Source organism: Homo sapiens, chromosome 2 (genome assembly GCF_000001405.40).
Source record: "Homo sapiens chromosome 2, GRCh38.p14 Primary Assembly".
NCBI classification, from domain to species: Eukaryota; Metazoa; Chordata; class Mammalia; order Primates; family Hominidae; genus Homo; species Homo sapiens.
The window spans coordinates 105,741,418-105,754,327 of NC_000002.12; the positions used below are offsets into that span (position 1 = coordinate 105,741,418).

Consider the following 12,910-nt stretch of genomic DNA (forward strand, 5'->3'; position numbering starts at 1 on the left):
GTGGGCAGAGCTGAGTGACTGAAGCAAACAGCTTATACTGGACAGAGGTAAAAAGGAGATTGTATGGCAGGGCTAAGTTGGAGAGGCCTTTGGAAGAGAGATCATAAGATGTAATGCTGATGTGATTTTAGGCAAAAGTTTACTGCACCTCCTTCCACTCCATGTTTTTTATGCTTTCAATACTTTGTGATTGAAGACAGTAAAACAGATGTGGACACATTAATGGAGTAGAATGCAGAAAAACCTATATATTTTTAGATAAAACATAAGCTTCAAAGAAATGTCTCCCCCATGTTAAGCCTTGCAGTGGGTTGGATGTTGGCCCCAAAAGATATGTTCACCTGGAAGCCGAGAACGCGACCTTATTTGGAAAAAAGGTCTTTGCAGATGTTGTAAGATAAGGATGTCGAGATGACATCATGCTGGATTAGAGTGAGCCCTAAATTCAATGATACTTGTCTTTACAAAAAGAGAGAAGGGAAAGGACACAGGGAACCAGGTTGTGTGAAGACAGAGAGGCAGAGGTGGGAGTGACACTGCCACAAGCCAAGGAATGTCTGCAGCCACCAGAAGCTGGAAGAGGCAGGGAAGGATTGTTCTCTACAGACTTTGGAGAGAGGCTGGTGTCTTGATATCAGACTTCTGAACTCCAGAACTTTGAGAAAATAACCTCTGTTTTGTCACCTAGTTTGGGGTCATTTGTTAAGGCAGCCCCAGGAAACGAACACAGGCCTCTAAGGGCTAAATACCCCAGCCTCTCTGGGGGAAAATGCTCAGTCTTCAGTCATCAGATAACTTTTGAGGAGACTGTGGTGGGCAATGGGGAGCCATGAGAAGTTCTTGAGCACAACCAGGGACAAATGGAAACAATTTACAGGAAGGTTAGGATGACATTGATGTCCAGTGTGAGTCTGAGGGATTTAAGAAGGAAGTAATGGGAGACCAGTTGGAAGGCAGTAGTTGTGGGGAATTGAACAAGAGTTTTGGAGTCAGGTACATGCTCTGACCCCAGTTCTTTGATCCACTGTTCAAGTGATTTCATCTGTAAAATGGGTATAATACTATTGTGTGTGGATTAGAGATGATATATGTCAAGAATTCAATCAAGGTACATTATAACTATTGCTAGAATGATGTATAAGTTAGGATGCCAGTGATGGAAATGGAAAGAAAGGTGCAGTGGAAAAGATGTTTAAGAATCACCAGGACTCAGAACCATGGGGGTAGTCTGCAAGGGGTCTTGGTGTCATTCAGCGCTCTCCCAGCTTTTCTTGGGGAGAACTCGGAGAGAGGGAAGGAAAAGCCAAGATAACAATGAGATTTCTCCCAGGAGCTGAGGTGCCTGGTAGACTCTTGGCCAGGCCTGAAACCATGGGAGGAGGAGCTGGTCTGGGGAGCAGATGAGTTTCATTTTGAACATGGTGACCTAGAAGAGATGCTGCGCCATGTTTAGGGGGTGCAGATTAGCTGGGGAGCTCTGCAGATTAGCAGGGGAGCTCTCTAAGGCTACAGGTCTGGGGGTTAATCAATGAAGGTTTAGACAGGGAGTGTACAAAAAACAATCAACTCTCTCTTTAAAAAAAAAAGGTGCGTATCAGAATAAAAACAAAGGGCCACCATCTGCCTTGGGGATATCACTTTTACAGGGTGGGAAGACAACAACCTCTCTAGAGGAGGCAGATGGGCAGGTCAGAAAGGTAAGAGAATCAGAACTGGCTGTGTTTGATGAATGAAAAGATGATGGTGTTTCAGGAAATAGCAGAAATGCCACATATTTCAGAAAACTCCACAGGATAAAGATTGATAAAGGGCCACTGGATTTAGATAGAGAATGACATCGGTGACTTCTAAAGAATCAGAGAAAGAAGAGGCATGCAAGAACCACGATTCAGTGAAAGTTTACAAAGCAAACAAGCTACAAACTGGGTCAATATTGCTATACTTATTTTGAGTAAATTAATCTAAAATTGGGCAGACTGATGACTAGAATTCTTCTTTTCTTATTGTAAAGCTAGATATTAGTAACACAAAACTTGCACAAAAGGATGAACTGAAGTAGCTTCTTTCACAAGGTCAAAACAAGGAAAAATGAGGCTGTTCTGATTCCCTGAGCTTGTACCTGATTCCTGCTCAGTGTACTGTGCTTCCTTCCACTTACTGAGCTATTGAGGGCTACCTACTGCCAGGGTACTTCACATAGGAGGTAAGTAAATATTATCTCCCCATATGACAGATTTTAGAAAGGCTGAGGACCACCTGTGCAACGTTACACAGTTCAGGAAGTCAACAGTCAAACACTCACCTGTCTGACTTCAAAGCTACGCTGACTCTAGTTACCTATCCTTGGGTACTTCCCTTCTGGAAGGAAGCAGGAGATGAGTGAATCAAATAATACAGCCTTGTAACCTTGGGTAAATTATTATTGCCTTAATAGTAAGCAGAGACCAGGAGCCTAAGAAAGAATCTCATTAACATGGATGCAGGCTATCCTGCCAGGAAATCAGAATCATTTGAATATTAGGATTTCCTTTGGGAAACCATATGGGGAGGAGAAAAGACATCCGGATGCATGTGTCTGTGAAAGGGAAACTTGTGTCTTTCCCCTTGCTCTTGGGTTTTCATCTTCCAAGTTTGTTTATAGGCTAGCCACAACTCGAGGCTGGGTGAGCTGAACGGTCCCATCATTAGCGACACTCCTTCTAGGGGCACATTCGGGCAGCTCCTCTTCGGGTTCTGCCCCCACGGGTGTGCAACCAGGATTCCACAGGCTGGGGCTGGCCTGGATGCCTGGGAGGCAACAGAGGTCGAGTTTCTTCTTCTTTTAGGAAGTGCCTCGGACAGGGATGATGGACTAAAAATGTGTCTGGTTGGGAAAGTAAATAGATGCAAAGCAAATAAATAAAAATGCCCACAAGCAATTACAGGGAGGAAGTGACATTTTTATTTAAGTCACTTTTCTGATGGACAACAGGCCTGCTTAGCTGAGTGCCGTGGGAATGCTTCCGGGAGGGGGGCGGCTGCCCAGCAACTAGAGCTTCGTGATAAGAACAACGAACAAACAAAAAAGAGGACGCAAAGCCCACCCGGCAGTCATCCCAGGCTGGAAGTTGCCGTCTGTGTTTTCACTCTCCTCCCCACCCACCTACCCTGCCCCCCACCGCCCGCACGCAATTTCGGGCGTGGGGACCCTTTCCTGCCCCCGGCGCCCGGCCCGTGCTGCGCCTCCAGAGCGGAGCGTCCCGCAGCCCCGCGCTATCCCGGCGCCCGTACCGGGACCCGGGCGCGGAGCCTGGCGACGACGGGGGGCGCCCCAGGTGGGTCTCGGGTCCCCGCCCCGCGCGCCCGGGCCTGGGCCGGCCCCTGGGCGGCGTCACGGCGCGGCCGGGGAGGAGCGCGGGAGGAGGAGGAAGAGCGCGGAGGAGGCGGGCGCTGCGCGCCGGGGGAGGGTCGCCGCCGCCGCCGCCGCCGCCGCCGCCGCTGCCGCGGGGATCGTCAGGCCGGAGCCGCGCGGCCGAGCGGGCGGCGGGCGGAGGGGAGGGCTTGGCGGCCGGGAGGCTCGCGGCGCCCGGGCCGGCAGGGTCCGCCCGGGCCGGCAGCGTCCGCCCGGCGGCGGGAGGAGGGAGCGGCGCAGACAAAGAGCGGCGCCTGGGCGGGCGCAGCGCGGCCACCGCCCCGGGACCCGCGCCGCTGCCCTCCGGCTCCGCGGGCGGCCCACGGCGAGGTAAGCGCGGCTAGGCGGGCGTGGGGCGGGGGCCACAAACTTGGGGCCGTTGGGCGGAGTTGGGAGCGCGGCGGGGCTCGCGGGCCGGGGTGCGCCCGGGAAGGGGCCAGGAGAGCGGGTCCCCTCCGCGCCCCTCCGGTGCTCTCGGCCCTGCCGCGGCCTGGGCGCCCCCGACCGCGGACTGCCGGGCACCTCCCGGCTCTGCACCTTCCTGCCCGCCTTCCCATCCCTAACCCCCACCATCGGGGGCCGGCCCAGGGGCGGGGACGCCAGCCAAGGGCGCGGGCGAGGATCAGGGCAGGGGGCCCGGCTGCGGGGCCCGGGGACTGGAGACCCCCGGGTGCGCAGGCTGCGCCTGGCCTGCAGGCGGGCGGCCGGCACGGAGCTCGGGGCTAGCGTGGGACCGTGCGGTGGCCAGGGTCGCCAGGGCGCGTGTGCCGGGGAAGAATAGCCGCGGATCGCAGGGCCCCGGCGCAGGGACGGGGGAGGCCGCGATCGGCCGGGAGAACTTAACCGTGTTTATTACAACTATTTATGTTCGCGCACAAAGCTGCTGTCACATTGCATAAAGGAGGTCCTCGCTTCGGCGAAGGGAGCTTTTGTGCCCGGCTTCAGGCTCTGCGCCCTGCCCCAGATTTACAGGACTCTAACAGCCACCTGAATGAACCAAAGTTTCTCACAATCGCTCGGCTCTCTCGGTTTTTTTCAGGGCGATTTAATCACCGAGTGCTTTTGGAAAAATTTGATATGTGAGTTTTAAGGCATGGAGGGTAACTGCCTTATGAGCACAGTTAGCTTGGCATTGTGTGGAGGGGTTTAATTTGCAAAACGCTTTAATTTGTAGACAATGGGGATCTCTGTGAAGGTCTGCGGTGGATGCTAGGGGTCATTGGCTGGTGGACCCCAGGCACCTGACTTAAACTAGTATTGTAACAGCTTCAGGGACAAAGCCGAGCGTGCGTGGAGTCGGCCTTGGCCACTTCACACAATTCAGGTTGGCAGATTCCTCTTTATTTGGCTTTGTTTATTTTGCCAACAGGTTTAAGGCTGCTTCTGCCAAGTTTGCATCTGCATAATGGGATGAGCAGGCCCCAGTGTGGGCAGGAGGGGGCCTAAAATATCGCAAGGGCCAGCTCCGTCCCTCGACCCAGAAAGAAACAACCCTGAGAGGCCGGTGGGCGTGGCTTGCTGGGACCTACAGGTAGGGGAGTCCCTTCCTGGCCCAGGCGCAGTCCCCGCTTCTCGGAAGGGATTTTGTGTAGGAATGAAAGTGATTCAGGGTGTTTTTCATGCCTCTGTTTTAGATGTAGTTATCAAGTCTCAAAAGTGACTGAAAATGAAATTAACCTGGGCCGCTTTAACTTACCAAAACGGAACTGTGCGTGTGAACACTCCCTCAATTCACTTTGCAAGCTTCATAGATAAGCAGGTGAATTAGTAACAGGATTCAAGCCTTGCGAGTTTTACGTAAAGAGAATGGCAGTCATCGGACACGTGGAGAAGAAATTGACTTCACCTGGAGATTGGGCTAGACATGGAGGTTTTTTGACGTTTGGAACAGGGGTTTCCTGAGAAGCAAGTGTTAACCTGCTTGTGAAGAAGTGAACACGAGGGAAAATCCTACCTCAGTATATTCTGCCCTGGAGGTTGGTTAGATGTAGTTTTGATTGGAGAAGGTGGCGGAATCTTAGTGGTCTTCTGGCGGCTACTTGAGGCTGAAATGGAGAACTTTAGGCATAGGAAGCTGTGGAGGTGCCTGGCCCACTTCCTGTCCCGGAGGCCTCGCCTGGATTCTGAGCTTCTTTCCTGCTTCATAAACATTCAGGGGGGTTGGTCATGAAACACTGGATGAAATTGGGTCACAAATTGCCATCAGGAAGAGTTGGCTGCTGCATAACCCCCTCTGTCCACTTGTGGAGAAACTGACCCTGTTAACCGTCGGGCTTGCTGAAGGTGCCTTGCAGGTGGCTGTGCTCAGTTTTCATGCTTTGTGTTTTGCTTAGGACACGCTGCATACTTAAATCTTCTTCATCCTTGCTCTGTTTGACCCTGCCATATTCCCAGGCTTTGTCATTTACATTTTCGGTTATTTAGCTTTTCCAACAAACAGCAGATCTTATGTACACAGTACTATATTTGAGAAATGCACTACCATCCATATTAAATACACCGGAAATCTTCCTTGCATGTGCACAGACTGGATAACCTTTTAAAATACCCTAAGACTCCCGGAATGGCGCAGAATGCACTGGAGTCCTTTACTTGATCAGTTGCACTAGCTTAGTTTGCCCTGGATAGACCAGGCTGCGAGGCTCTATGGGACACCCATTTTTCTAACTGCTCAAACTGGCTTGCCGTGTGCACTGGGGGAGACAGGGCTTGCGGAAATCATTCTCTGACATTAAAAATGAGGCTTAAAGACTGAAGAGCTCAGAATTGCTTGCTGGAACTACAGGGGAGGATGATGAGTGATGTTTGGAAAAACAAGTAAGCTAACTTTTTTCACAAATGAACTGGAAACTCCCTACAGCTCACTTCAGATGCTTAGGAAATTAGTTTTCCCATCCAGAGGGTTTGCGAGTGGCACTTCCAAATGGTTTCTGTTTCCTAAAATGAGTGATGGAAATACTTCACGGCACGTTTTCAAAGGGCCTAAGCTAAAATGTGATTTCGTGTATCTTGTTCCATGCCTGAGTTAAGGCAACTCAGAAGAAGGTCGTGACGGCCTTTTAACGGGCTATCAAAAGTGTGCAGCTAAAGCAAAAACAGTTTTGCATTTCTTTAGGCCATTTAGTAGCACAATTAAAAAATTAGACTCTTTTCTTTTCCTGCATTTTCCTTTGAACATTTCCCAAAGTATGTTTATTTCTAAAGGTAAATGAACGTTAGCAAGTATTACCTCTGCCCAGTGACACACATCCACATGTGTACTGGCACATACATTCCTACCTCAAGAATCTTAGTCCTTGAAACTGTGGAAATGAAAGTTATTTTGATTGAGGTAGCAGTGTCACAGTGATGTCATACGGTGTCACTGTCCCTGACCAGCCTCTGTGTTCCCTCTCAACTCCTTGGCTCAGTCTCCTCCGTGTCCTGAGTTCTTACTCATCCCAAGGGTCGTCTCTTACTTCTTTTCTTCCCCACATCTTATCAACTCCAAACTAGAGGGGATGGCATCATCTTTAAACTTCCACAGCACTTTCTTTGTGTCCCTGATTTGTCATCTGTGACATTCTTTCCTGCAGTTGTTTTTTTTCTTTTTTTAAGGCAGGGTTTCACCCTGTCACCCAGGCTGGAGTACAGTAGCATGATCACAGCTCACTGCATCCTCGAGCTTCTGGGTTCAGGCAATCTTCCCACCTCAGGCAATCTTCCCACCTCAGCCTCCGAGTAGCTGGGACTACGGGTGTGCACCACCATGCTCAGTGAATTTTTTTATTTTTATTTTTATTTTTATTTTGTAGAGACAGGGTCTTGCTGCTTTGCCAAGGCTGGTCTCAAACTCCTGGGCTCAAGTGAGCCTCCTGCCTTGACCTCCAAAAGTACTGGGATTACAGGCCAGAGCCACCATACCCTGCCCTATGGTTTTTTTGCCTTCATCTTTTCTTTACTAGATTCTGAACCGCTTGGGGGCAGACTGGTCTTGCCACTTATACACAATGAGTGTGCAACAAATACTTATTGAATATGTGAATAATGAGTGCCCAGCCTGTTAATATTGGGGCTCTAGCCTCCCACTGAGATTCAAGTGGTAAGAGACCTCCAGCATTCTTGTAAATCTCAGAACTTCTGTCTACTGTGGAAGGCTTTGACCTCAGGATGTCCAGACAATGGGAGAATTTGGTCTGTTGGCCTCTCTATTTGGCAAATTTTCTGTCATGTGAGTCATTTGTAGTCCTGAAGCTACATTTAAAAACAACAACAGCAACAACAACAACAAAAAAACAAAGCCAACCCCATACTCAACTGTATTACCTGGTGGGCTGGCTGAATGGTTTACTTTTGTAGGTTAGTCTGTTCCTATCAACCTGAATTCAAAACGCTGGGCAGACCGTTTGTGATCCTGGCCTGGTAAGTTAGTTATTTGTGTCACCCCTTCTTTCTACTGTTGTATTGGTAATGTTTTTAAGAGAAGAAGCTTCAAGTGCACTCAGAATTTTAAGTATTGCAGTTGCTTCTTTTGAGACAATTTTGGAAGCTGGGGTGCTTACGTTGCCAAATTGTTAGTGAAGACCGAAAATGCCATGATGAGAGAATGACATGTACTAATGCATGCACGCTCATTCATTGTTTGCAAAGTCCTCTTCACATACACCATCATATTTAATAGTCGAATAACATGGTGCACTTGGTTCTGGCCCTCATTTCTAGGTAGGAGACTGGGGATGACAGAGCTTGAATTTAGGTTAAGTCCTTCTGCAGGCCATACATGAGGAACACCAACGTGTTGCTGGGTAGAGTTGTTTTTTTGTGAGGCAGTTTACAGAACACAGTGTCCTTGGGTATCTGCCTTTGCCGTGTCGCAGCTGTGTGTAGATATTGGTGGAGCAGATTCTGGATGTGAGTTGACTGAGGTTGAGCGGTGTGAGGGGAGGCCGGCAGGAGCAATGTCAGTCTCTCTTGTCCCCACATCCTGGTTATGGGCCAGGGTTACCCTGGAAAGCCTCCTCAAGTTCAGAAAGCTTATTCCTGTTTAGTGCGTGTATTAGTCAGCTCCAGCTGCCTTAAGAGAATAACACACAGAGGCCGGGCGCAGTGGCTCACGGCTGTAATCCCAGCTACTCGGGAGGCTGAGTCACGCGAATTGCTTGAACCCAGGAGGCGGAGGTTGCAGTGAGCCAAGATCACACCACTGCACTCCTGGGTGACAGCGTGAGACCCTGTCTCAAAAGCAAACAAACACACACACACACACACACACACACACACAAAACAACAACAACAGAATGGGTGGCTAAAGCTGCAGACATTTATTTTCTCACAGTTCTGGAGGCTGGAAGTCCATGACCCCGGGGCCGGCAGGGCTGGTTTCTGGTGAGTGTCTCTTCCTGGCTCGTCTTCTTGTGTCCTCACTCACGTAGCCTTCCTTCTGTGAGTGCACTGAGAGAGAGGTCTGGTGTTTCTTCCTCTTATAAGAACATCTGTCCTGTTGGATGAGGGCCCCACCCTTATGGTGACCTTTTTTAACCTTATTTATGACCTTTTTTAACCTTAATTGCCTCCTGAAGCGTCCTGTCTCCAAATATAGTCACTTAGGGGTTAGGGCTTTACCATATGAATTTAGGGTGGACAATTCAGCCACTCCCAGTGTGTCTGTCTAGGTTCCACAACAGGGCTGATGCTTTTAGGAAGACCTGGTGCTCCCATCATCCAGATCTGGGATCTCTGTTTATTTGGGGACACCTACCAGGGATGGTTAGAGTAGTCACAAGTAAGGAGGGAACGTCAGCTCTTTATATATTGGTTGTAGCACCCCATAACAGGGAACAAGCCTTGGTGCTGGCCTTCCAAAGGCTGGAAAGGTTTTAAGTAGAGTGATTGAAGAGAGAGAAAAATCTTGACTTGATTTCATTTATGGAAACTTCTCTTCAACTTAGGTAGGTAGACACTTATTTGGGGGTTGGTTTGTCTTTAATTGAGACCATGATAAAATATCAGTGATATGCAAAGGAAAGTTTTTTCTGAACCCTGGATGAAGAGAGCAAAGCAAGAGGTGGGGCCAATGGCAGCCAGGGTGGAGAGGCCGTCTCCTCTGAGCCTGCCATCTCTGTGATCGTGCAGTCTTTGCCACATGAGCAAACATCCCTTAGCAGAATGTGCATGACGGTGGTGAGGTGCACCCTGAGCGTGGCTGGAATGTTTCTGACCTAGGCCATTTTGCCTTGTTCAGACATAAGGCAGGGGCAATGCCTGCATGACTGACCTCCCTCTAGCTCCAGATCTGTATGTTCATTGATGCTTTGTTTGCTCATTCATTCACATTCATATGAATTATCCAAGTTCTTAGTGGTCATTTCCACCATCCCAAACCATTTGCAGCTTCTCCTGCAACCTGCCCGCCTTCTCAGTTATATTCCCCATCACCGACTCACTCGGTTATCCTTGAATTCTCCCTCAGCTCCCAACTAGTTATCAACCCCTATTGATTCTACCTCCAAAAGATCTAACATCTCAGCCCTGCTGTCCTTTTTCTGTTTCCCCTGGACATCAAAACCACTTTTTAACCATTCCTGCCAATCCATCCCAGGGTGACTGCACCCTGACAGTCAGGTCTGGCCATGACCTGCACACGGTGGCTCTCCATCGTACTTGGGTCAGTGACTCAAGTCCCCAGCATGGCAGTCATGGGCTTGCACGACTGGGCTGCCTCTCTGTTTCTCCCAGCATCTAAATATCCCCTTCCCCATATACACACATGCTGAGCTACAAGTCATCTGTGGCCACCCACTGATGGTTTGCTAATTGTGATAACAAAACTAAGTTTATAATCAGTTTGTTTTTAAAGACTCTCTCCACTGGGACTGGTTCAGGGTTCTCCTGTGCAGTAATGGCAGGGCTACCCCACTACAGCTTTGCATGGAACTGAGCATGGGCCCAGCTCTCTGTCATGGGAGGAGAAGAGACTAACTGCAGAAAATGGTGCGTATGTGTGTTTTAATATGGACTGTCTCCCTGCAAATGCCATTTGAACTGATGGATTGTCAAGAGCAGTGCTGACCCCTTGAAATACAATGTGAACCACAAATGCAAGCCCCAGATGTAATCATAATGTTCTGGTAGCCACATTAAAAATGTAAAACCAAACAAGTATTATTAATTTTCATCCTATATTTTGCCCAATATATATATAAACTCTATGTGTAATCAACATAAAATGTAATTAATAAGATAACTCATATTCTTTTATTTGCGTGAGGGCTTTGAAATTCAGCATATAGTATATACGTTTACTGCACCTCTTGGCTGCCTCTCGCTGCATTTTGATTGGCCTTGGCCACACGCGACTAGTGGCAGCCTTGTTGCGGAGTGTGAGTCTATACACTTTTCATGATTTAAGCCTCATTTGCTGTCTGTTTTCCAAAGTTGAGATAGCTAAAGAGACAAAGTGGAAACAATGTAGAATAATTATAATGGTCATTATTATTATGCTTTACTGGGAAAGGTGTAACCTTTTTAAATATGAGGAGTAATGTCATCCTTCAGACACTCAGCACATGATGTTTTAGAGCACTAAAATCAGATTCAGTTAAAACTAATATCTATCATCAAAATACCTTGTTCATTTTACAAATATCTTAAAATGTGGTTTGAATTCTAGAAGTTACCAGTGTAAAATAACATTTTTGTATATCAGTATTCAACACATTTCCTTTTAAAAAATGTGTTCAGCACCATAGGAAAGGTAAAAAACAACATTGTATACAGTGATGGGGTACAGGTGTTATTTTGTTACATAAATTGCCTAAGGGTGAATTCAGGACCTTTATTGTATCCATCACTCAAATAACATACATTGTACCCATTGAGTAATCTCTCATCATCCACCCCTTCCTACCCCATCACCCTTCAAGTCTCTGGTTCCGTCTGGATAATGGCCTCCAGTTCCATCTGTGTTGCTGCAAAAGATATGATTTCATTGTTTTTTTATGGCTGAATAGTCTATTTTCTTTATCCAGTCATCTGTAGTATTCATATTTCTGATAACATGTTAAGTACAAGCTAAAATCATGTATTTTTAAAGTGAACATTAGCTTCTCTCCCACACGGACACAGACACACACACACACATTGTAATCACTGTTCTAAGCACTTTCCATGTAATAACTCATTGAGTCCTCACCAACAGAACGTGTGGTACTTTCTGTTTGTATCTTCATCGCTAAGGAAAGGGAGGCACTGAGGCTGCCATGTCTTAGGTTCCACAGCTAGACTCTGACCAAGCTAGCCACCATCCCTTCATTAAGATGTATCTGAAAATACATAAAACAGAACTGTAAACTTTTATTATGGTGTAAGATTTGAGAAACATTGATGGAAAATCATTGATAGGGAGTGTAGCTTGCATACAGGTTCATTCTGGGAACGCCTTATCAGCCAAGTGGTTGGGGAAGGCCCTGGACTTTGGAAGGGCCTAATGAATAACTGGTACCTTGGAGGAGGGGAAGCCTTGGATGGTCATCACTGAGGACCATTGGCCTGGCTGCTCCTCTCCCCCAGCCCCCTTGCTATGTTCCGTAGGCTGGTGGTCCTCCACCTGCCCAAGTCTCCAATTCTGCAGGAAACACCAGCATTCCCTGGGGAGAACCGCTGCTGGAGGGAACTGCAGTGGCACTGGATGAGGGGGAGTATTTTCTGTTGTAGTCACAGTGTATTAGCTCAAGTGGTCATGCAGGTGCCATTGTAAATGCCTGTGTGATGTGCCTCTTCATCAGTAGCTGTGTGGTGGGTCCCCACCCTTGTCTCCTCCACACTGGGGGCTGAGAAAACAGGAGTGTGTGTCTTCTCACTCTTCCAAGTGGCCCCCGGACTTTTGTGCTGTTGGAATAGCTTGCACAAGGCCATTTTTGCTGCTTCTGTTTTTCCTTAATGAGTTGCTGTTGTTGAAGTGAAGGTAGGCAGGTAGGTTCTTGCTGAAAACCTTGTAGCAGGACATACCAAATCCTTTTCCTTTGTGCTTTTATGACATCTGGGAAGGTCTTGAAGAATTCCAAGGTGGCTTTGAAATCTGCTTCTGAGGTTGTGAGAGAGGCCAGGTCAAGTCCAAATGTAGATTCTTGGGAGACTGCTGCTACAGGTCCTGATGGGAACTCTGACACTGGCTGCTCTTCCAAGTGAGTTGTCTGTGCCAGCTTCTCGAACCTACCCTTTTGTGTTAGGAGGGCCACTGGGGCCATCAGAGTGTTGAGCAGCCCTCCCTGGAGCAGATGGGACTGAGATAGGACGGTGAGTCTGGCGTCTCTGTTGGGAGAAGCTCCTGCATGTTCCAAGTTTCAGAGGGGCTGCAATTTGGGCAGTTTCTTTCAACTCACAGGTTTAGATTTGCAGTCACACTACCTCTCATGTGGCCACTTCTACACGTAGCAGGTTCCAGGATATGTGGTGGCAAAGAATTGTTTACTTCAACATGCTTAATTTCCCAGCAATGGTGGGGGCAGCCAGGAAGTGAGAAGTGAAAAGTAAGTTAGAAAG

General features: G+C 48.2%; 1 protein-coding gene across 7 annotated transcripts in view, besides 5 other annotated features; it reads left to right on the forward strand.

The window, feature by feature from the left end:
• Positions 1 to 3,035: 3,035 nt before the first annotated feature.
• The window catches only part of NCK2 (NCK adaptor protein 2), a 149,820-nt gene continuing 139,945 nt past the window's right edge, over positions 3,036 to 12,910 (forward strand). For 4 of the 7 annotated variants that reach the window (NM_003581.5, NM_001004722.4, XM_011511991.4 and 1 more), the window contains exon 1: positions 3,495 to 3,721. The gene's annotated coding sequence lies outside the window, so the exon portion shown is untranslated. Of the gene's footprint in view, positions 3,315 to 3,494; positions 3,722 to 4,188; positions 4,923 to 12,910 lie in introns of those variants that run through there. The other 3 variants (XM_017005103.2, XM_017005105.2, XM_006712797.4) reach the window with 3 other exon arrangements.
• Positions 3,146 to 3,465: a silencer, noted in NCBI's record as "silent region_11840". NCBI's record gives its function as "represses an Ori minimal core promoter by ATAC-STARR-seq in GM12878 lymphoblastoid cells {active_cell/tissue: GM12878}" and the evidence as "EXISTENCE:reporter gene assay evidence [ECO:0000049][PMID:35858748]".
• Positions 3,656 to 3,715: a silencer, noted in NCBI's record as "silent region_11841". NCBI's record gives its function as "represses an Ori minimal core promoter by ATAC-STARR-seq in GM12878 lymphoblastoid cells {active_cell/tissue: GM12878}" and the evidence as "EXISTENCE:reporter gene assay evidence [ECO:0000049][PMID:35858748]".
• Positions 3,826 to 4,215: a silencer, noted in NCBI's record as "silent region_11842". NCBI's record gives its function as "represses an Ori minimal core promoter by ATAC-STARR-seq in GM12878 lymphoblastoid cells {active_cell/tissue: GM12878}" and the evidence as "EXISTENCE:reporter gene assay evidence [ECO:0000049][PMID:35858748]".
• Positions 4,586 to 4,655: an enhancer, noted in NCBI's record as "active region_16318". NCBI's record gives its function as "activates an Ori minimal core promoter by ATAC-STARR-seq in GM12878 lymphoblastoid cells {active_cell/tissue: GM12878}" and the evidence as "EXISTENCE:reporter gene assay evidence [ECO:0000049][PMID:35858748]".
• Positions 4,756 to 4,805: an enhancer, noted in NCBI's record as "active region_16319". NCBI's record gives its function as "activates an Ori minimal core promoter by ATAC-STARR-seq in GM12878 lymphoblastoid cells {active_cell/tissue: GM12878}" and the evidence as "EXISTENCE:reporter gene assay evidence [ECO:0000049][PMID:35858748]".